Raw genomic sequence first — 25,693 nt, forward strand, 5'->3', positions numbered from 1 at the left:
AGAATGTAAGACTAAGTGACAGGTCTGACTTAGTTAATTCCTATGTTTCTGTTGCTCATGGGGTTCTTTCCAAAAACACCGGTTTTCCAAACCGTCCATTCAATTTAAATAGCATTTATTATTTTAATGTTTGCCATGTACCAGGGACCACGCTAAGTACAGACTAAAATTAACGTTTCCTGTTCAATCAGGAGTTTGCAAGTTCCATACAAATTGGCAGATGATAGGTCACATCACTAAAATGTTACTTTTTTTTTCCTTATTTCTTCTCCCCATGAATATATCACACCAACACAGAAACAATCATAAATAACATATACTTGTGATACAGTTTGGCTGTGTCCCCACCCAAATCTTGAATTGTGGTTCCCATAATCCCATGTCATAGGAGGAACCAGGTGGGAGATAACTGATCATGGGGGCAGCTACCTCCATGTTTTTCTCATGTTAGTAAGTGAGTTCTCATGAGATCTGATGGTTTCATAAAGAGCTTTCCCCCACTTCACTCTGTACTTCTTCCTGCCACCATGTGAATAAGGACGTGTTTGCTTCCTCTTCTGTCATGATTGTAAGTTTCCTGAGGTCTCCCCAGCCCTGAAGAACTGTGAGTCAATTAAATCTCTTTCCTTTATAAATTACCCAGTTTCAGGTATTTCTTCGTAACAGCATGAGAACAGACTAATACAGTAAATTGGTACCAAGTAGTGGGGCACTGCTGTAAAGATACCTGAAAATGTGGAAGCCACTTTGGAACTGGGTAACAGGCAGAGGTTGGAACAGTTTGGAGGGCTCTGAAGAAAACAGAAAGATGTGGGAAAGTTTGGAACTCCCTAGAGACTTGTTGAATGGCTTTGACCAAAATGCTGATAGTGAAGTAGACAATGAAGTCCAGGCTGAAGTGGTCTCAGATGGAGATGAGGAACCTGTTGGAAACTGGAATAAAGGTGACTCTCACTATGCTTTAGCAACAAGACGGGCAGCATTTTGCCCCTGCCCTAGAGATCTGTGGAACTTTGAGGTTAAAAGAGATGATTTAGGGTATCTGGTGGAAGAAATTTCTAGCCAGCAAAGCATTAAAGTGACTTGGGCCCTCTTAAAAGCATTCAGTTCCAGGCATTCACAAAGATACGGTTTGGAATTGGAACTTATGTTTAAAAGAGAAATGGAACATAAAAGTTCGAAAAATTTGCAGCCTGAGGATACAACAGAAAAGAAAACCCATTTTCTGAAGAGAAATTCAGGTGGGCTGCAGAAATTTGCAAGTAACAAGGGGCCAAATGTTCATCCTCAAGACAATGGGGAAAACGTCTCCAGGGCATGTCAGAGACCTTCATGGCAGCCTCTCCCATCACAGGCCCAGAGGCCGAGGAGGAAAAAATGGTTTCCTGAGCCAGGCCCAGGGCCTTGTTGCTTTGTGCAATCTCAGGATTTGGTGCCCTACCTCCCAGCTGCTCCAGCTCTAGCCATGGCTAAAAGGGGCCAGGGCACAGCTTGGGCCATTGCTTCAGAGGGTGCAAGCCCCAAGCCTTGGCGGCTTCCATGTGATTGTGGGCCTGTGGATGCACAGAAGGCAATACTTAAGGTTTGGGAACCTCCACCCAGATTTCAGAGGATATATGGAAACACCTGGATGTCCAGGCAAAAGTCTGTTGCAGAGGCAGAGCCCTCATGGAGAATCTCTGCTGGGGCAGTGCGTAGGGGAAATGTGGGATTGGAGCTCTCACATGGGGTCCCCACGAGGCACTGCCTAGTGGAGTTCAAGAAGAGGGCCACTGTCCTCCAGACCTCAGAATGGTAGATCCACAGACAACTTGCATTCGTGCCTGGAAAAGTTACAGGCAGTCAACATCATCCCATGAAGGAGCTGCCCAAGGCAGTGGGAGCCCACCCCTTGCATCAGTGTGCCCTGGATGTGAGACAGGGAGTCAAAGGTGATTTTGGAGCTTTAAGGTTTAATGGCTGCCCTGCTGGGTTTCGGACTTGCATGGGGCCTATACCCCTCTTGTTTTGGCCAATTTCTCCCTTCTGGAACAGGAGCATTTACCAAATACCTATGATACCCCCGTTGTATCTTGGAAGTAACTAATTTGTTTTTTATTTTACAGGCTCATAGGTGGGAGGGACTTGCCTTATCTCAGGTGAGACTTTGGGCTTGGACTTTTGAGTTAATGCTAGAATGAGTTAAGACTCTGGAGGACTACTGGGAAAGCATGATTGGTTTTGAAATGTAAGAAGGACATGAGATTTGGGAGGGGCCGGGGTGGAATGATATGGTTTGGCTGTGTCCCCACCCAAATCTCATGTCAAATTATAATCTCCACATGTCAGGGGAGGGGCCTGGTGGGTGCCATGACTGTAAGTTTCCTGAGGCCTCCCCAGCAATGCAGAACTGTGAGTCAATTAAATTTCTTTTCTTCAAAAATTACCCAGTCTCAGTTCTTTATAGCAATGTGAGAGGAGACTAATACAATTACCTAAAAAGTTGAGCACATCCCCCAGAAGGGGCATGGTAATAAATGTTCAGTTCATCATATAACCAGGAGACAGTTATATAACCTACCACAAACAATTCATCTAAAAGATCAATTAACAAGCTTCAAAAAGAAATCAGAGTCCAGACTATTAAACAATATGAAACAGACTTACTCAGTGAAAGGATTAAAATGTCATCTCTAGTTCCACTACTTCATAATCAGTTCATAGTTTTAGTTGTTCATAATGGTAGAAAGTGGTAGGAGAAATGTTACCTATTTTCTTACATTGTACATACCATATGTATACTCATTTTTATATGCTGCAAAATATCATAATCTAAATTAATCATCCATGGTTTATGAAGACTGAATTTAAAACTACAGTAGATGGCAATGCTGATAAATACAATAAACAGCTAAAATCCTGTTATCTATAAACATAAGAACCATCATTCCGAGGGAAACCTTCTACATGGAAAGCAGCAGCAGGAAATTGAATAAGGAAACACACACACACGCATGCACACATGCACATATACACACACACAAACAGAAATATATGCACATGTACATATACATACACATACATATCAATGGGAGGAATGAGCATTACTACAGGTCTTGTACAAGAAAATCAGGAGAAAAGTCATTTTGAAACAAAAATCTATTAAAGATTTATTAACAATTACTAGACATCCTCATTTATTTCCCTGGTAAAATGAATGACTATAGACTAGAAAAAGATTCTATATATCCTGCTTATATAGTATACACATATTAAATCCTCAAATTTTAAGTGTAATTTAATTATCTTCCTAAAGTTTGAGTTAGGTGGAACTATAAATGCATTTAACTAAAGGATAATTATAAATGATTAAGATCTCATGCCACTCATACAGTCAACAAATAATTACTTGGTATCTACCATTCACAGACACCGCATTAGCTACTAGGAATAAAAGACGACTCAACGGTCAAGTTGATAAAAGTCTACTTAAGCCATATGTGTAAATGTGTTATGAAACATTAGTGAAAAGAATATTCTTGGCAGAAAGAAGCTCCCCTCATGACCTAATGAATGCACTGTACATTATATATGAGGGAATAATGAAGTGTAAAGTTGCAAAGAAGGGAAGACTTAAACTAAACACCAAGCTAACAAGTGTTTCAGCTTCATTTTATAAACAAAAAGAGAAGTACTGAAGTTTTAATTTGGGAGCAGGGGTGAATGGGATACCCTGAGGTACGTCATGAAATCTAGAAGTAGGTAACACTGAACACTAAGAATACTGCAATAGGCAAGGAAAGAAGAAAGAATTCAAAACTAGAGTTGTGATCACAGGAATTTTGCCTTTCATTTTTCTATGCAGTACCTCCTTACCCACATCTAATCATCCCTAAAAATTTCTAAGCTTTTTAGGCAAGTGGTACTTACATAGAAGAAAAGTGTTTTTATTCACTTACAGTAAATTCCTGTTTGACAAAATCTCCAATTGGAATTTCTCATTTGTTGCACCTCCACTCTAAAAGGAAGCAATTAACAAGAAAATATTTACTACACCTTCTAGAATTAAATAGTTCTTTACAGTAATTGTCTTTCAGAATGAACTACAAACACTGCTCAATTTCAGGTGGAAAAAAAGAATTCCCCATTAGAGTTTAATGCAGAATACTACTACATTAAGTATTCTTGAAGTTGAGTGAAATTCAAATGAGAATTGAAGAAAGGTTTTCTGCATAGTCTCAAATATACTAGAACAATTAATCAAAAGGAACCTGTTCCTAACTTTCTGGATAATCTTCAGGTTTTCTCAATTATCACCTACACGGGCTCCATTTATAAACATTTTTAAAAATCATAAAAATTTTTCATTAATAATCCCCACGTATCTCTCCTGAAACCAAGGAGTTAATTATGTAGCACTTCCTCTTAAGTATGGCTTTTAAAAGGCCCTAAACTTATCTTCCATCTTATAGAACCCTTTTCTCCGAATTCTTTGGTATCCTCATGCTATCTTAAGTCCTATTGCAGTAATCACTCTCCCCACAGCAGGCCTATCTCCAACTTACTAGATTCTCTCTCAACTAAATCCTGTTTCTTTTAGTTCAGAAAAGCATGGAGATAGATCTAATTCAGTTCCTTAACCCTAAGATAATTTTATACCTAAGCATTCATTTTTAAAATGTAGTGCAACAAACAAATTAAAAACACACACTTGTGGAAATCAGCATTTTCTGAGGCAAAAATGAAAGGTCTGTGCTGTGCAGACTTGTATCCTGAGAGTGTTTTTCTGAACCTGTTTCCAAAACCTATAGATTCTAACAACTTCAAGACTTTTCCTTCCGCCTGTGGCATTGTGGGGAAGACGTGTTCCTATGGATGGATAGGTGGTTGTCAGCCAAAAACTGCTTTAAGTTAGTCAACATCTTTGCCACAGAAAGCATATCAAGAGATGATTCTTCAATGGATTCTATCTGTCCCAGACAGGACAAAGAGTTCAGTCAGACACAGCTGGCTGCTTCTCCACAGCAGAGGTGGGTGAAAAGTGGGTAGAGGTGATGTACTCCTGTACTACTGCCAGGAGGTCTCAGATTTGGCAGCCTATTCCTTGGGAGAGTTCAGGTTCACATTTCAAATTACACAGTAGGGATGGATCCTGTCAATTCTTGCTTACAAGCCTTTGAAGATTTTCTATTGTTTTCCAAACAGCATTTTAAAATCCTTAATATGAACCAAAGGCCTTAAACAAAGAGGTCTCCACCATTTACACTACTCTTTTCCAACACTATCCTCCAAGTTCCCCAACTCCTACCATATTTTAGACCTCAGTTAAATGGGTTCCTCCAGTTTTCCCTGACCAACGAGCCCACATAGGTTAGGCAGCCCTGAGATGCTTTCATAGCACTCCATACTATTCCTATGGCACATCTACCCTAACTATAATTATTTTTATTTCATGTAGTGCTTCACAACTAAACTAAGTTCCATTGAGAGCAATGACTGTCAAATCTACCAGAATCAAACCCAACAGCTAGCTCCTAATTTGATCAACATTTACTGAATACATTTTGGCCTAGACCTGTGGCTTTAATTACTTGTTCCAGTAACTTAGTTTCTGATCATTAACCTCAGCCAGCACAGCAGAGAGGGGAACACATGTAAAATTACACTGCTGTCAGAAACCTCAACAATTTTTAATTCAGATTATGAAAGACAAACTTCCTTAGCACTCATTCGTACGTTTTTTAAATGTATTGAAGTTCAACTATTTTCATTTTCCTTCCTTCACTCTACAGTTCTTACAAAGCAATAACCTATAGAAAAACAGTCAAGACATGTGCACAGGAAGTACAAAGAAACACAAATGTTAAAGAATTAAAACCAACTACCATTTTCAACCTACTAGAGTGACCAAGACTAAAGTCTGACACCAACTAAAATTGACAAAAGTATGGGTGAGATGACCAAATTTAGATACCTTCAGACACTGGTGGTTAAATCATAAATTAATACAACCTCTCAGAAAAACGACTTGGCAATATCTATCAGAAAACATAAATGCACATACCTTCTTCACCTTGCAAATTTTACTTCTAAGAATTTATCCTATGGATATGGATATATTTCTCATAAATGCACAAAGAAATCATTAAGGATATTCATGACAGCATCGAGAAAGAACTGAATAAACCATGGCACATCCATACAATCTACACAATATTCTGCAGCTGTTCAAAAATGAAAGCGATTGATGTATTGATATGGAAAAATATCAAAGACATAGTATTAAGTTACACACACACACAAACACAGTAAACAATAACTATATCTTTGGGAAAGATCAAGAAGAATCGGGGGGGGGGGAAGAAGGGGAGTTACCAACAAAGAATTAAGTTATAAAAGAGAAACATACAAATTATATATTACATGATTAATCTGAGCCTACATGCTGAAAAAGGCTTCAGCATAGTGCTGGCCTGGTACTCCACCAACTGACTTTGTCCTGTAGGTGCATTTATCCATGGCTTCTCCTGTATCAATGCTTGGTTAAGGAGAACAAAAGAACACCCAGGTCCAGGCAAAGGAACATCTTTTCCATTCTAAAAGGCCAAAGGAAATGCAAATTCCTGAGAAATTTTTGTGAAAAAAATAATTTTTAAACCTTCAATTTCAGTATATGCAACAAATGAATTATAAAAGTCCTGAGAAGAATAAACTTCATCCTGGACCATTAGACCACCATAAAATACACTGTCAACTGGAACAGTTATGGAAGAATATACACCATACCCATTTATTCACATTACACTTCTAGAATGAAATTGAGACTAAAACTTTTTTGTTTTACAAATAAATTGAAAGAAATAATATTGACTACAATTTTTATGACCTGAGCACTGTTCTAAGTTTATTATGTATCTCATTTAACCTTCAAAACAACCCTACAAGGTAAGTTATCCTCATTTTACCAATGAAACAATTATTAAAGTACAGTTGACCCTTCAACAATTGGGGGTAAAGGGGTCCAACGCCCTGTGCAGTAAAAAACCCATGTATAACTTCTGACTCCCAAAAAACTTAACTACTAACAGACTATCACTGAGCAGAAACTTTACTGATAACATAAATAACACATATTTTGTATGTTATATAAACTATATACTGTATTCTGACACTAAAGTAAGCTAGAGAAAAGAAAATGTTAAGAAAATCATAGAAAGAAAACATCTATTATTAAGTGGAGGTGTTTTCATCAAAAAGGTTTTCTCTTTGTCATTTTAATGTTGAATAGGCTAAGGAGGAAGAGGGGGAAGAGGAGCGGTTGGTCTTGCTGTCTCAGGAGTGTCAAAGGCAGAAGGGGTGAAGGAGGTGGAAAGGAAGGCAGACACACTCATGTAACTTTTACTGAAAAAAATTCACATAGAAGTGGACCTGGGCAGTTCAAACCCATATTGTTCAAAGGGAAACTGTAATTAAATGTAAATTACAGTGAAATCAATCAGCACTCTCAAGCCCCACACTGTGGTCCCTAAAAAACATTTCATTAATAAAAGCAGATCAAAGCTGGGCACAGAAGCTCACACCTGTAATCCCAGCATTTTGGGAGGCAGAGGCGGGTGGATCACCAGAGGACATGAGTTCGAGACCAGCCTGGCCAACATGGTGAAACCCCATCTCTACTAAAAATACAAAAATTAGCCAGGCATGGTGGTGCACACCTGTAATCCCAGCTACTCAGGAGGCTGAGGCACAAGAATCACTTGAACCCAGGAGGTGGAGGTTACAGTGAGCCAAGATGACACCACCGCACTCCAGCCTGGACGACAGAGCGAGACTCAGTATCAAAAAATATAAAAAATAAAATAAATAAAAGCAGATCAAGTCTCATGTCCTCTGGCAAATAAAAGCAGGAAATGCACAAAATGTACCAAGGACATCTTGGCACGCTACAAAGGATAAAAGTGATTTTAAAAACTGCAATTGTATCCAAAGGACACAAGCAATCTTCCAAGAGGCTGCCACTGACAAAAGGGCATCAAAAATAAAAACAATAGTCTGAAATACAAACATATACAAATCCATGAGTTCAAAATGATAACTTTTAAAAAAAATAGGCCAGGCATGGTGGCTCATGCCTATAATCACAGCACTTTGGGAGGCCAAAGTGGGTGGATCACTTGAGGCCAGGAGTTCAAGATGAGCCTGGGCAACGTGAAGAAACCCTGTCTCTACTAAAAATACAGAAATTAGCCAGACGTGGTGGTGCATGCCTGTAATCCCTGCTACTCGGGAGGCTGAGGCATGAGAATCACTTGAACCTGGGAGGTGGAGGTTGCAGTGAGCCAAGATCGCACCACTGCACTCCATCCTGGGTGACAGAGCAATACTCCGTCTCAAAAATAAAAATATATATTAAAAAATAGAGGTCGCAAAAAAAACTAACTCAATTGACAAAGGGAAAAAATTACCCTGCTTTTCCTAATATGTACTGTATTTCAGAATAACCAAAGGCTGATGAAGGAAAGCTCTTGTAGAACAGGTATTCAAATTCCAGTGTGCCTCGGAATCACCAAGAAAGCTTGTTAAAACAGAGTACTGGTCACTGCTTACATAGTTTCTGTCTGGGAAAGGACTCATGAATTTGCATTTTCAGTAAGTTCTCAGGTGATACTGATGCTGGCAGCCTGGGAACAATACTTTTGAGAACCACTGTTAGAGAATTCTAAATAGTAAATGAAGAATTTCTAATTCTTCCAGAAAGACTGAAAGCTCTATCACACCTAATAAATTCAGAAAGACTGAAAGAATTAGACATTCGCAACTTTGCAACCTGATGAAATGATGGGTCTAAGTAACTATTATTAGTGAATAATGTGACATTATTTGTCTCCTAATGTGATGCAACAGAAATGCACAACCAACAATCAATAAAACATTCCTTGGGAATCACATCATGAGGGCTGAATTAGCCAAATGAAATTAGACAAATTCTAAAATCCATGTGACACAGTCTTCTCAACAAATAAACTGCATGGGAAAAAAGGGGGGGCACTTAAGAGACCTGTTTATCAAAAGTCATGTGTGGACATTGTTGGATTCTATTTTGAAGACTAACTATACAGACATTTTTGAGGAAATCTGGGCTACTGAACATGGACTGGGCTTCAGATAACCAAGAGTCATAGTTAACTTTTTTAGGTGTGATAGAGCTTTTATGATTATATTAAAATTTTAATATAGGTCATGATTTTTCTACTAAAACAGCAAAACAGAAAACATTTTACACAAAAACAGCTCTGCTCCAGCCAAACACCATCGAAAAAATCTTCTGCCACACCCATACCAGCAAAGAAAACGGTAAGCCTAGACTTCCACCCTCACAGTACTGTAATGAGCCCAACATCCCTACCAGAGCAGTGTCAGAGAAAGCAAAGTAGGGAACCTAGACTTCCAATCCCACTCAGCAATAAAGAAACACTCCCCACTGGGCTGTATCACAGGAGGCCTAGTGGAACAACAGGACTTTCACCATGGTACAGCAATAATGGGACCATATACTCCTTCTCCCCTCCCCACGGTGTCAGTGGAGACCTACTGGAAAGCCAGAACTTCTACTTGCACACAACAGTACCAGAGTACCTCCTTCTCCTGATGGGGCAGTGTCAGAGAAACCCAGTTAAGATTAAGTAAAATCTACCATCTTGGCTAAGCACAGTGGCACATGCCTGTAATCTCAGCACTATACGGAGGCCGGGGTGGGTGGATTGCTTGAGGTCAGGAGTTCAAGGCCAGCCCGGGGCAACATGGTGAAACCCCGTCTTCACAGAAAAAAAAAAACAAAATCAGCCAGGCGTGGTGACACACACCTGTAATCCCAGGTATTCAGGAGGCTGAGGTGGGAGGACTGCTGAGCCTAAGAGATCAAGGCTGCAGTGAGCCACGATGGTGCCACCGCACTTCAGCCTGGGTGACAGTGAGAGCCCATCTGAAAAAAAAAAACCTAGAGTCTCATAACATAACCTCCCAAAATCCATGCATCCACTAAAAAAAAAAAAAATCACCCCATATCAAGAACCAGGAAGATCTGAAACAGAATGGGGAAAAAACCATCAACAGATCCCAACACAAAGTAGAGATGTTAAAATGATCTTACAAAGACTTTAAAGCAGCCACCAAGGCTGGGCAACATAGTGAGACCCCATCTCTACAAAAATAAAAATTAAAAAATTAGACAGGCATGGTGGCTCATACCTGTAGTCCCAGCTATTCAGGAGGCTCGCTTGAGCCCAGAGGTTGGAGGTTACAGTGAGCTGCGATCACATCACCATACTCCAGCCTGGGCAACAGAGCAAGACCCTGTCTCGAAATAAATAAATAAATAAATAAATAAATAAAGCAAGAGCCATCATAAAAATCCTTTAACTAGCATATAAAATATGTTGAAAATACAACATAACAAAAATCTGTGGGGCATAGCTAAAGCAGTGCTGAGAGAAATTCTGAATACCAAAGGTACACATGAAAAAAGACACAGTCTCAAATCAATAATCTGTAGTAAATTCCCACCTCAAGAACCTAGAAAAAGAAGAAGAAAACTAACCCAAGCAAGTAAAAGGAATGAAATAATAAAGGTTAGAGCAGAGACCAATGAAAACAAAAACATAAAAATGCAGAAAAAATTAAATGAAGCAAAGAACTGGTTATTTGAAAAGAACAATACAACTGAAAAGCCTCTAGCCAGAATGACAAAGAAACAAGAGGGAAGCAAGAATTATCAATATCAGGAATAAAACAGGATATCACTACAGACCCTACAGGCATCCAAAGGATAAAAAGGAAATACTATGAACAACTCTAGGCATATAAATTTGACAACTTAGATAAAATGGACCACTTCCTCAAATAATACAAGCTACCACAACTCACTCAATATGAAACAGATAATTTGAATAGCCCTATAACAATTAAGGAAATTGAGTTTGCAATCTTAAAATTCCCCAAAAAGAAATCTCCAGGTCCAGATGGTTTCCACCAGAGATTTTTACCAAATGTTTAAAGAATCTTTAAAATTCTACACACTCTCTTCTACAAGAGGGAACACATCTCAATTCATTTTATGAAGTTAGTGCTATGGTACTCTGATATCAAAACCAGACACAGCATCCAAAAAAGGAAAACTATAGACCAACCACCTTCATTAATACAGATGTACCCATTCCTTTTTTTTTTTTTTTTTTTTTTGAGACAGTTTCGCTCTTGTTGCCCAAGCTGGAGTGCAATGGCGCCACCTGGGCTCACCGCAACCTCCACCTCCCAGGTTCAAGCAATTCTCCTGCCTCAGCTTCCCAAGTAGCTAGGATTACAGGCATGCGCCACCACACCTGGCTAATTTTGTATTTTTAGTAGAGACGGGGTTTCTCAGTGTTGGTCAGGTGGGTCTCAAACTCCCGACCTCAGGTGATCCACCCATCTCAGCCTCCCAAAGTGCTGGGATTACAGGCGTGAGCCACCGCACCCGGCCAAATGTAAACATTCTTAACAAAATATTAGTGAATAAAATTCAGCAACATATAAAAAGAATTTTACAACACAGATAAGTGTAATTTATTCCAGGAATGCAAAGCTAGTTCAAGATTAGAACCTCAATGTGATGCACCACATTAACAGACTAAAAAGAAAAACTGCATGGTCAAATCAATTAATGCAGAAGAGGCTTCTGACAAAATTCAACAATCATTCATGATAAAATCCCTCAGAAATCAAGAATAGAGAATTTCCTCAACTTGATAAAAAGCACCTAAAAAAAAAAAAGAAAAAAAAAACCTACAGCTAACATTACATCTAATGGAGAAAGATCGAATGTTGATCAGGAACAAGGCAATAACTGTTTATTCTCATCAGTCTTATTACACATGGTGCTGGAAATTCTAGCAAGTACAATAGGGCAAGAAAAGGAAATAAAATAGAAAAAATTATAAATGAAGAAATAAAACTGTCCTTATTTGCAGATGACATGATTATCTGCATAGCAAACCCCAAGGAATTTATGAAAAAAAACGTTTACAGCTAATAAGTGCATTCAGCAAGAGCTGAATTGCACAGGCTGGAGTGCAGTGGCATGATCTCAGCTCACTGCAACCTCCGCCTCCCAGGTTCAAGTTGTTCTCCTGCCTCAGCCTCCCAAGTAGCTGTGATTACAGGCATGCGCCACCACTGCCGGCTAATTTTTGTATTTTTAGTAGAGACGGGGTTCCACCATGTTGGCTAGGCTGGTCTCAAACTCCTGACCTCAGGTGATCCACCCACCTCCCTCGGCCTCCCAAAGTGCTGGGATTACAGGCATGAGCCACCATGCCCTCCCATGGATTATTTTTACAAGGAAAAAATGCACACACACAAAAATGTACTCAAGGATCAAGATTTAACAAAATTGGCCATTTTTACTACTTTTAATGTGCACATTAGGAGAAACTAATTTCTTTTTTAAACTGTGTGTGGCATTAAAAATACAGTTGACTTCTGAATAACACAGGTGTTACAGGCACCAACCCATCACACAATCAAAAACCTGCATATAATTTTTGACCCCCCCCACCAAAAAACTTAGGGAGTTGGTGGTCTTGCTGCATAAGGAAGAAAATTCATGTATACATGGACCCACAAAGGTCAGACCTATCAATGTGACTACTCTAGGTGTCTCATATAAGTAGAATCATACAATTTGTTCTTTTGTGACTAGTTTAATTCACTTAGCATAATGTTTTTGAGGTACATCTGTGTTGTAGCATGTGTCAGAATATCCTTTCTTTTTAAGGCTGAATGATTCTGCTGTATGTATACACTACATTATGTTTATTCATTTATCTGTTGTTGGACACTTGGGTTGCTTTCACCTTTTGGCTGTTGTGAATAATGCTGCTGTGGAACATTGGAATTATGGGTGTGCATATATCTGTTTGAGTCCTGGCTTTATTCTTTAGGAGTTTATACTCAGGTGGAATTACTGAATCACGGTAATAGTATGTTTAAATTTTTTAGAAACTGCCATACAGTTTTCTATAGCAGCTGCACCATTTTATATTCTGACCAGCAATGTGCCAGGGTTCTTGTTTTGACATCCTCACTAACATTTGTTATTTTCTGTTTTTTGATAATAGCCATTCTAATGGATATGAAGTGGTCTCTGCTTGTGCTTTTGATGTGCATAGAGACAGAAAATAAAAGGGTTGTTGGGGGAGAAGAAAATGGGGAGTTAATGTTTAATGGATACAAAGTTTCAGTTTGGGAAAATGGAAAAAAGTTCTGGAGATAATGATGAGTGCTACACAACTGAATGTACTTAACGCCACCGAACTGTACAAGAAAAAAGGTTGAAATTGTAAATTCTGTTATACATATTTATAAAAAAAAAAAAACAGGGTCTCACTCTGTCACCCAGGCGGGAGTGCAGTGGCACAGTCATGGCTCACCACAGCCTCAACCTCCTGAGTTGGGGATCCTCCAACCTCAGAGTATGTTGTTCAATGGAAAACTGTGCAATGATTACAAGTACAGTTTGCCTTAATTAATGATTAGGTGCTACTGGTTTTCACCCGCCTTTGCTTTTGTATCATCAAGATGTGTGTCATATATGGATTGCAAATCATTAAACTTCTCAGAGACTAATAGCCAGAATATACATAAAAAAAAAACTACACTTCAACAAAAAACAACTCAATTCAAAACAGGCAAACTGCTTGAATAGACATTTATCCAAAAAAGATATACAGATAGTCAATAAGTACATGAAACTATGCTCACCATTATTAGTCATTAGGGAGTAGCTGAAACTACAGGCACACACTACCACAACCAGCTAATTTTTGTATTTTTTTTTTTTTTGTAGAGACAGGGTTTCACCATGCTGCCCAGGCTGGTCTCAAACTCCTGGGCTCAAGCAATCCAACCACCTCAGCTTCCAAAAGTGTTGGGATTACAGGTGTGAGCTACCACACCAGAATCAATTTTTCTTTTCTTTTCTTTTCTTTTTTTTTTTTACTGCTTTTAATGTGCACATTAGGTAAAACTGATTTTTTTTTTTAACTGTGGGTGTGTGGCATTAAAAATACAGTTGACTTTTGAATAACACAGGTGTTACAGGCACCAACCCATCACACAATCAAAAACCTGCATATAATTTTTGACCCTCCCAAAACTTAGGGAGTTGGTGGTCTTGCTGTGTATGGAAGAAAATTCATGTATACATGGACCCACAAAGGTCAGACCTATGTTGTTCAATGGAAAACTGTACAATGATTACTAGTACAGTTTGCCTTAATTAATGATTAGGTGCTACTGGTTTTCACCCACCTATGCTTTTATATCATCAAGACGTGCGTCAATATAGCAAGTAAGGACAAAAAAGCCTAAGTAGTAGTATCAAAATCATTTGACCTTTTGGACCCATATAACCCCCTAAAAGGGTCTTGGTGATCCACAGGGGTCTGTTGACCATATTTTAAAGACTACTGCTCTAAAAAGGGTTAAGTATGAAAAGGGTGGAACAATATAATAGACTAAAAAGGCTGGAAATTTTTCAGGTCTTTCTCAACCAAGAAAATATAACTGGGGGTTCATTATTTGGCTCAAGATACCAGAAGTTCCTAAATCATACACTAGTTCTAAAAGAAAAAAACAAATATTCTCTAATACCCCTTCCAATTCTAAAACCCTCAGATTCTACACACTTTCCAACATTCATTCAGTAACTCATTCAACACATAGTTATTGTGTCTATTGTATGCTAGGTTCTGAGGGAATAAAGAAGTAAGTTCAGTCCTCCAATAATAAGAAATTCAACACATTATTATAGATAAATGCTATAATAACAACAGTTAAAAGTACATGACACCATGGATAATGTCAAAAGCAGGGAAAATTACTGAATTTGAAGACAATTAAAATTATTGAGTCTGAGGAGCAGAAAGAAAAAGAATGAAGAAAAATGAACACAGCCTAAGGGATCTGCCAGTTAACAAATGCATTATGAAGTTACAAAAAGAAAAGCAAGAGAGAGGGATGAAGAAATGATACATGATTAACTAATGACTGAAAACTCCAAAACTTGAAGACGTGAATCTACAAATCCAAAAAGCTTAACAAACTTCAAGCAAGATAAACTCAAACCCACACTAAGACACATTATAATCAGTCAAAAACAAAGACAACGAGAATCTTGAAAGCAGCAAGGAGTCTCAGTAAGATTAAAACCCAATTTCTCATCAGAAACCACGAGACCAGAAAACAGTGAGACAATGTATTTAACATCCTAACAGAAAAAAAAAAAAACTGTCAACCAAGATTTTATACTTAGCAAAACAATCCTTCAAAACTAAAGGAGAAATTAAGACATTTCAAGCTAAACAAAAGCTGACAGAGTTTGTTACTAGTAAACCTGACCTACAAGAAATCCTAAAGACAGTCCTTCAGGATGAAATTAAAGGATACTAGATAGATAGTAACTAGAAGCCATAAGAAATAACGAACATCAATAAAGGTAACTCCCTAAGTAAATATAAAAGCCAATATTGTTGTATTTTTAGTTTGTCACTTCTCTTTTTGTTTCCTATGTGATTTAAAAATCAAATGCATAAAACATGTTTATCAAATGGCACACAACATATAAAGATGTACTTTGTGATAACATAAAAGGAGGACAGGGCTATAGAAGAACAGAGTTTTTGTATGCTATTGAAGATAAGTTGGTATCAATTCATTTTTGTTGGGGGCGGGGGGGATGGAATCTTGCCCTGTCACCCAGGGTGGAGTGCAATCACACGATCTCAGCTCACTGCAACCTCCACCTCCCGAGCTCAAGCGATTCTCCTTCCTCAGCCTCCTGAGTAGCTGGGATTACAGGCATGTGCCACCACACCTCGCTAATTTTTTGTATCTTTAGTAGAGACTGGGTCTTACCATGTTGGCCAGGCTGGTCTTGAGCTCCTGACCTCGTGATCCACCCGCCTCGGCCTCCCAAAGTGCTGGGATTACAGATGTGAGCCACCACACCCAACCTCAATTCAAATTTAAGAGGTTAACTGAAATTATAAATTTAAATTTTTAAAGTTTAAATTAAAAAAAAAGTTTTAAAGAACCCATCTCAAAAAACAGAACTAGGGATGATTGGTGGGTGAACAATTAATTCTTCCCAGGAGAGACTATAAAAACCTGCAGAGAGGAGTTGTCATGAGAGTCTGGAGACTAGGGGATAGAGGAGAAATAGAGAAAAGAAAAAGTATATAAAAGCACACAGACACATTAAAGTACAAGATACTTACATCATTTATAAAACTGAAATGAATCTCACATACCATAAATTTAACCACTTTAAAGCATACAATTCAGGGGTTTTTAGTGCATTTGTAAGGTTATGTAACCATTACCTCCATCTAGTTCCAAAATATTTTCAGCACCTCCAAAGACAAGCCCACACCCATTAAGTAGTTATTCCCCATTCCTCTCTTCACTGTAGCCCCCGGAGTATTATGGATTTACCTATTCTAGATATTTCATATATTATGGAATTACATGAAAATACGTGACTTTTTGTGTCTGCCGCCTTCTGCTTTGCATGTTTCTGAGGTTGCTCCACACTGTAGAATGTATCAGTACTTCATTCCTTTTTATAGCTGAATATAATATTCCAGCGTGTGGATATACCATATTTATTTATCCATTCATCTGCTGATGAACATGCAGGTTGTTTCAATCGTTTGGTCACTATGAACAGTCCTATTATGAGAATTCTTATAAAGTATTTGTTTGAATATTTGTTTTCAAGTCTCGTAAACATATACCTAGGAGTGAAATTACTGGGTCATATAGTAATTCTATGTTAACATGAGTAAGGAGGACAGCTAGTAGGTAAATGAGATTAGACACAAGGAGATCCGCTGGGAGGCTACTACAAGAATGTTAGTAAATATGAGAACCTAGGCAGTGGGGTGAAAAAGGAAAAGGGAGATGCTGCCAAAAACAACAACAAAAAAAGCTGAAGGTGAGAAAACTATGAAGGAAGGGGTTGAAACAATCTTGAAGTTCTGAGCATAGGCAACTAGAAGATTAGTAATGCCTTTCACTGAAATAGGAAAGGCAGAGCAACAGGGAAGAGGAATGGGAATGGGGGAAGATGACAAAAAAGGGTTTATGTGCACAATGAGTTTGGGATGTTTAGGAAATGCCATTCAGTGACACTGAGACTGGGGCTACAAAAAAAGATCATCAAGTCATCAGCATATTTATGACAGAAAGTAAAAACACCATATAAAGCATCAAATTATACACCCACACTAATTGATTTACCGATTAAATGCTAGTAAATCTATTGGCTGGGCATGGTGGCTCATGCCTGTAATCCCAGCACCTTGGGAGGCCAAGACAGGCAGATCACTTGAGGTCACGAGTTCAAGACCAACCTGGCCAACGTGATGAAACCCCATCTCTACTAAAAATAGAAAAAAATTAGCCAGATGTGGTGGCGGGCGCCTGTAATCCCAGCTACTCGGGAGGCTGAGGCAGGAGAATCACGAACCAGGGAGGCAGAGGTTGCAGTGAGCAGAGGTGATGCCACTGCACTCCAGCCTGGGCAACAGAGCGAGACTCCATCTCAAAATAAGTAAGTAAGTAAATAAATAAAATGTTAGTAAATCTAGATGAAGTGCTCAGATTACTTTTACTTGGGGATCTCCAAAGAAATAGAACCAATAGGACAGAGAGAGAGGGAGAGAGAGAAATATTGACTGATAATAAGGAATTGGCCATGGGAAATCTGGAGGCTGACAAGTCCCACGATCTGCAGTTCAGACTGCAGGAGAGCCTAGAGACCCAGGGGAGCCAATGGAGTAGTTCCAGTCCAAGTCCAAAGGCCTTAGAACCAGGACTACCAATGGTGTAGTTCAAGTCTGAAGGCTGGCAAACTGGAGACCTGGAAGAGCAGCCAATACTTCAGTTTGAGTCCAAAGGCAGGAGAAAAAAAGAAAGAAAAAAAAAAAGTCCCAGCTCAAAGGCAGTCAGCAGAAGTTCTCTCTTATTCACTGAAGAATCAACCTTTTCGTTCTATTTATGTCTTCAACTGGCTGGATAAGGCATACTTACACTAGGGAGGGCATCTGTTTTTCTCAGTCTGATTTAAATGTTCATCTCATCCAGAAAACACCTCCACACACATATCCAGAAATGGCTGGCTGAATGTCTGGACATCCTGTTGCCCAGTCAAGTTGACACAGAAAATTAACCATCACAAATGCTGTTCAAGATAATACCTCATGATATTCAACTAAGAAAAGTGAAATTTTTTGATAGTTTGGCAAAAATACTGTCCTTGACAAAAATGATTTGCTAGATTAAATGTCTAAGGTATTTTTAAACTATACTCTGAAGCAAAATGATGTTCCTTTAACTGGACCAAAGTGTGCCATCACAAAAATCAATCAATACAAATCATTTCCCAACTTAGAGAAAAACTAATTGATGTTTTCAGTTTTAAGTCTTTTTTCATAATGCAACTTAATCCTTCAATACTTCCTTCTATTAGCCTGTACGAGAATCAAGTAAGATACATTTAGCACAAAGTTAGACAATTATTTCAAACTTACATGTGCATTTCATGATACTCTTTAGAGATTTTTTACAAAGCATCATGAAGTGACATCTGAAAATCACTTAAACAAATACACATTTAAAATAAGACTGCACAGTTCTCAGCCTGACATTTGCCATTATAAAGACGTACATTCTTTCAGATACCGTAACAAATTAAAGTGATAATTCCAGAAATATCAAAAAATTTGTTCTTATAAATAACAAATTGATTCTAGAATTTATATAGAGAAACAAAATAAGAATACACAAGAAAACTCTGAAACAGGGAAGAGTAATTGCTGAAGGGAAAAAAGCATGTCTGAGAGGGTGGATGTCCTATCAGACATGAAAACATAATAAAGAGTATAACAGTGCAACATGAGTGGACAGATCAATGCAACAGAATGAGAATGAAAATACACCCAGATACACAGAAAAACTTAAGGTAGCATTTCAAATGGGTAGAGGTAAAAATGAACTTTTCACAAAATTGTGTGATACACTAATGCCTAGCACTTCTATCAAGGTCTCTTAAATCATCACCTGAAACCATTAAGAAAATACTAGAATATTTACTAACAAACATAAATTTATAAATTTTAATAGAAAAATTTTAATAGAAAAAACTGACATCCTAAACTTTCATCAACAGAATAACAATTATGTAAATTTTGGCACATCCATAAAATGAAATACAATGCAATCATTTTTTAAAATGAAGCAATGCCATTAAACTGTTAACAGACTGATTCTGGGTAGAGAAATGGTTAAGGAGGGAATAGGAATGGAAAGAACCCATATAACATTCTTTACAGCCTTTTGGGTTTTTGTGTTTTTTTTTTGAGATGGGAGTCTTGCTTTGTCTCCCAGGCTAGAATGCAGTGGCACAATCTCGGCTCACTGCAACCTCCACCTCCCAGGTTCAAGCGATTCTCCTGCCTCAGCCTCCCAAGTAGCTGGGATTACAGGTGCCTGCCACCACACCCAGCTAAATTTTGTATTTTTAGTAGAGACAGAGTTTCACCATGTTGGCTAGGCTGGTCTTGAACTCCTGACCTCAAGTGATCTGCCCACTTCGGCCTCCCAAAGTGCTGGGATTACAGGTGTGAGCCACCATGCCCAGCCTTTTTTGCCTTTTAAATTTCATATTATTTGCATATTACCTACTAAATAAGTATTTTTAGAAATACACCTGGAAAATCCAAGCATTCAACGTAAGTATGGTAAACCATTTTGTTAAAAAAAAATTACCAGTTATTACAGATACAAAGAAGAAAAAGCTATAAAAAGGAGAACAAGATGAACAGGCACCTTAGAACAGCCACAAGTTATGCAAGAGAACCAAAATGACCAAAAAGCTCAGATGACAGCAAGGTGACTAAATAAATAATTCATCATTATAGTCCTTCTATTTTTCTTTTTTCTGTATAATCCTCTTAATACATTTTAACAAACAAAAATAAATAAAAAAGGTGAGGCATGATGCTGACATCTATAATCCCAGCACGTTGGGAGGCCAAGACAGGAGGATCATCTGAGCCCAGGAGTTCGAGACCAGCCTCAGCAACACAGCTAGACCCTGTTTCTACAAAAAAAAAAAAAAAAAAAAAAAAAAAAATCAGCCAGTCATGGTAGCATGCACCTGTGGTCCTAGCTACTCAGGAGGATTGATTGAGCCTGGGAGGTTGGGGCTGCAGTGGGCCTTGATTGGCCACCACACTCCAGCCTGGGCAACAGAGCCAAACCCTGTCTCTCAAAAAACAAGAACAACAACAACAAACATATATATATATCACACACACACACACATACACACACCTTAAGTCACTTATTTTCAGACATAAAACACTAAACGTTTATCTAGCCCAGGCTCCATGGCTCATGCCTGTAATCCCAGCACTTTGGGAGGCCAAAACGGGAGGATCACTTGAGCCCAGGAGTTTGAGACCAGCCTGGGCAATATGGCAAACACGGTCTCTACAAAAAATACAAAAAAAATTATTAGCCAGGCATGGTGGTGTGCACCTATAGTCCCAGTACTCAGGGGGCTGAAGTGGGAGGATCGCTTAAGCCCAGGAGGCAGAGGTTGCTGTGAGTTGAGATCATGCCACTGCACTCTAGCCTGGGTGAGAGAGTAAGACCCTGTCTCAAAAAAATAAATAAATAAATAAAAGTTTATCTAAATGTGTATTATCCTGTCTACCTCCAGAAAGGACTTATGAACAGAAATGTTCAATTTGAAAAGTCAAATAATGCTGTTCTACATAACACCACATTCAAATGATTACAACAGCTAAAACCTATGTCTATATTCTTGGTACAGCTCCTAGTAAATTCTACATATACTTCAAATCTTAAACCAAAGGACCCTTCCCTGATTCCATAAACTAGGATAGGTTCCCAATTACATTTCTCCTTTGTATTACTGTGCAGTTACTAGTTTGGCAAAGTCCATTTGCCTGGCTGATATGTAAGCTCCATGAACACAGCTGTATGTCCCTTTATCTGCTCAATCATCCTTGTTCACTAAGACAGTAAGGAGGTCAACAAGTATTTCTTGAATAAAGAAACCTAATAGAAGAAACTTCTTGTATTTTTTGTGACAGGGTCTCACTCTGTTGCCCAGGCCAGACTGCACTGGTCAGATCATGGCTCATTGCAACCTCTGCCTCCAGACTCAAGCAATCCTCCTACCTCAGCCTCCTGGGTAGCTGGGACTACAGTCATGCACCACCACACCCTGTTAATTTTTGTATTTTTAGTAGAGACAGGGTTTTGCCACGTTACCCAGGCTGGTCTCAAACTCCTGGCCTCAAACAATCCACCCGCCTCAGCCTCCCAAAGTGCTGGCTGGGATTACAGGCATGAGCCACTGCGCCCGGCCAGAAAACCAACAGAAGAAACTTCTACTTGTACATTTTGAATGAAAAATTTATTTTATCAAGAAAAAAAGCCTGTAAAATTACAGATTGTTTGTTTAATGTAGGAACACACTTTTATTTTTATAAGAAATGTAGAGATAATTTGTTGAATCAGATGTAAAAACATCAAATCAACAACTTTTTTTAAAAAACCTTAACGTCACAGGAAAGAGAACCTAAATAAAATTACGTTACGGGCCAAAGGGAAATTTTATAAATTCAGTTTCTGCTTTTCTGGGGAATTAATATTTTAGAGGGATATGTCTGCTTAAGGCAAAGCAATGTATCCTAGTCTCTTGATCTAATTATCAATATTCAGAAAATGGTCCACTTCTCAGCCAACAGTCTGTGGATTCCAGGGGGTCAAGACACTTTCATGGGGTCAATTAAGTCAGAACTACTTTCACAAGAATGCTCATCTATTATTTGCCTTTTTTCACTCTCATTCTCTCACAAGCGTACAGTGTTGTTTTGCAGAGGTCATGTGATACAGCAAGACTGAATGCAGAAAAAGACACGAGAATTCAGCAGGCTTCTATTAAGAGAGATCTTATAAAGATCTGGAAAAATGTAAAATAATCACTCCTTTCCCTGGTATTTTTTAGCAAATATAATTGGTTTTCATTAAAAATGTTATGTTACGATAATTGCATGAGGTAATGGATACTAACTACCCTTATTTGATCATTAGACCAACATATACATCTATCAAAACATCAAACTGTATCCCATAAATACATACAATTACAATGTGTCCATTTGTAATTTTAAAAATCTTTTTTTTTTTGAGATACAGTCTGTCACCCAGGCTTGGAGTAATCTCAGCTCACTGCAACCTCCGCTTCCCGGGTTCAAGTGATTCTTGTGCCTCAGCCTCCCAAGTAGCTGGGATTACAGATGTGCACCACCACGTCTGGCTAATTTTTAAATTTTTAGTACTGACATGGTTTTGCCATGTTGCCCAGGCTGGTCTCAAACTCCTGACCTCATGTGATCTGCCTGCCTCAGTCTCCCAAAGTGCTGGGATTACAGGCATGCACCACCATACCTGGCCTTAATTAAAAATTTTTAAAATATTATTTAACATGAATCGATTTAGTATTATAGTTTTAAAACAAATAATTATTAAATAAATTTTTAAGTGTTTTAATTTCCAATGTAGTAACTAGCGGTAGATATAACCCACATAAACAAAAGATTTAGAATCTTCAATTTTTAAGAGTAAAGAGATCCTCAAACCAGAAAGTAGGAGAAATTCCTGGTCTAGAATAAGAATTTCTTTGGAACAACCAATTTGATTTTTTCAAAGAATACATTTAAAATAAAAGACAGATGGCACCCATAGATGTAAAGGAACTTTATTTACATAGTAATCAATTGCAATAAATGAACTTTACTTGGATCCTGATTCAAACAAATGGCTTCTAAAAAAGTGAAATGATCACGGAAATAAATACTGGCTCAATATTTGATATCTTAAGAAATTAAGTTTTTTTAAGTGTTAAGAAAGACTATAACTATTGAAGCTGCAAGATGACTACATGGGAGTCACCATGTCAGTTTGACAACATTAATCCTTTTAAATATAAGAACTTAGAAGGTGCTAGCATTGTCTACTTACTTTTTCAATTCTAACTCTGAAAGAGAAACAAGTAACAGTATCAGACAATATAAAAGCCACTGAACTGTCAATTTAAAACAGACTCTCTTCATTTTTAGGATTTATATTGCTATATATTTTTAAAGCAAATGAAAAATGTTCTTTTGGCCGGGTGTGGTGGCTCGCGCTTGTAATCCCAGCACTTTGGGAGGCCAAGGTGGGCGGATCACGAGGTCAGGAGATCGAGACCATCCTGACTAACACGGTAAAACCCCCATCTCTACTAAAAATACAAAAAAATTAGCCAGGCATGGTGGCGGGCGCCTATAGTCCCAGCTACTTGGGAGGCTGAGACAGGAGAATGGCATGAACCCGGGAAGGTGGAGGTTGCAGTGAACCGAGATCGCGCCACTGCACTCCAGCCTGGGCAACAAAGCGAGACTCTGTCTCAAAAAAAATAAAAAAGAAAAATGTTCTTTCACTTCTCCATTTTTCTAAAACCAAATTAATAAGAACAGCCAAGAATATACAGTACTTATTTTAGCACATCTTACAAGTTTAAGCCGTATTAGTGAATACGAATGTTAATTCAACGAATATTTAAAAACTTTCATCAAACGCAGTATGCTGGGGAGCTAAAAATTGAAATAGGTAAACAACCTGAAGGAGCCCACTATCTACTTCACAACCAATATGTAACCCCCCAACCTATAATACAATATAAAATGGTAATTAGTTCCCTGAAAGATATCTAACATAGCTTATTGAAAAAGTGATGATTTCAACAAATGATTACAAATAGGAGGAAAATCTAAACCTTAAATAATGTATTATTTTAATTGTTGCCAACCCTAGAAAAAATAAGCCCAGCATGGTAGTGTGCACCTGTAGTCCCAGCTACTCGGGAGGCTGAGGCAGGAAGATCACCTGAGCCCAAGAGTTCAAGAGCAGCCTCGGCAACATAGTGAGACACTGTCTCATAAAAAAAAAAAAATTTAGGAAACAAAGTTAACAGGCATTCAAAGGCTGACCATTTCCAGGTTTGGCTCTTTGCATCCAAAGCTATGTATCACCTCAGCACTTTCACATATTCCCAGTGGCTGCAGGCCCAAGCCCCCCTACCCCCGCAACTTGTTCAAAGAGGTCTTTTATTAAACGTCACCTTGCAGAGATGATTTCCCTCTAACTAAAGATTTCCTCCTTCAAAGAACTAAACACGAAATTTATATTTAAAATTTTTTGTTTATTGGTTGCCCTTACCACAAGACTATAAATTCTGAGGGCAGGGATAAACTGTTTTCCCTTTGTTTTCTTTACCATTGTAATACACAATCAATAAATACAGGGTGAGTAAACATACTTTAAGGGGTTGAGGCACTTACAGTTTTGTTAAGACACCAATATAACATAAAAGAGGCTGGTACAAAGGATACAATCACTAGACTAGGGAAGGCAGTGACCTTCACCAACTACAAAGAATTTCCTCCTATCTATCTTGTTTTGTACAGCTCTTATAGAGATCTTTCAGCGAGTGTGTGTAGAAAAGAGCCCAAATGTTAGTGTTGGTTTCTAAGTTCAGGTATGTTCATGGTCAATATTTCTACAGAAATGAATATAAATTAATGATGTATATTAAGTTTTAAAATTTAGCCTAGTATTGACTGAGACATTTACAGTTTAAAACAGTCACCTTCAAAGGACACTATTAAGAAAGTAAAAAGACAACCCACTGAATGGAAGAAAATATTTGTGGTATGAATCTAATACAATACTTGTACCTAGAATACATTGGGAACACTTACAACTCAATCATAAAAAGACAAATTTTAAAATAGGCAGAATAGACATTTCTCCAGACAACATCCAAATGGCCAATAAGTACATGAAAATAGGCTCAGTGTCATTAGTCATCTGGGAAATGCATATCAAAATCATGAGATACCACTTCATACCCACTAGGACAGCTGTAATCAAAAAGATAACAAATATTAGCAAGGATGTAGAAAAACTGGACCCTCATACACTGCTTGTAGGAATGTATTTTAAAAACATGGCCGGGCGCGGTGGCTCACGCCTGTAATCCCAGCACTTTGGGAGGCCGAGGCGGGTGGATCATGAGGTCAGGAGATCGAGACCATCCTGGCTAACAAGGTGAAACCCCGTCTCTACTAAAAATACAAAAAATTAGCCGGGCGCGGTGGCGGGCGCCTGTAGTCCCAGCTACTCCGGAGGCTGAGGCAGGAGAATGGCGTGAACCCGGGAAGCGGAGCTTGCAGTGAGCCGAGATTGCGCCACTGCAGTCCGCAGTCCGGCCTGGGCGACAGAGCGAGACTCCGTCTCAAAAAAAAAAAAAAAAAAAAAAAAACATGTACCCACTGTGGAAAATAGCCTGGTGGATCCTCAAAAGGTTGAACATAGGATTCCCATATGACCCAGAAATTCCACTCCTCAGTAAGTATCCAAGATGAAAACATATCCACAAAAAAAAAAAGCTTGTACAGGAGTGCTCACAGCAGCATTATTTATAATAGCCAAAAAGCGGAAACAACTCGAACGTCTATCAACTGATGAATGGCTA

At 38.5% G+C, this 25,693-nt stretch overlaps 1 protein-coding gene across 4 annotated transcripts in view; it reads right to left on the reverse strand.

Moving 5' to 3' along the window:
- RPRD1A (regulation of nuclear pre-mRNA domain containing 1A) overlaps positions 1-25,693 on the reverse strand; it is a 77,736-nt gene that overhangs the window by 47,045 nt on the left and 4,998 nt on the right. For 2 of the 4 annotated variants that reach the window (NM_001303412.2, NM_001303411.2), the window contains exon 2: positions 3,939-3,997. The exons of the other annotated variants lie outside the window; for them this stretch is intronic. In NM_001303412.2, the coding sequence (NP_001290341.1) occupies positions 3,939-3,981 (43 nt within the window). In that variant the 5' untranslated portion in view covers positions 3,982-3,997. The remainder of the gene's footprint in view (positions 1-3,938; positions 3,998-25,693) is intronic. 4 annotated transcript variants of the gene reach the window in all.

Source organism: Homo sapiens, chromosome 18 (assembly GCF_000001405.40).
Source record: "Homo sapiens chromosome 18, GRCh38.p14 Primary Assembly".
NCBI lineage: Eukaryota > Metazoa > Chordata > Mammalia > Primates > Hominidae > Homo > Homo sapiens.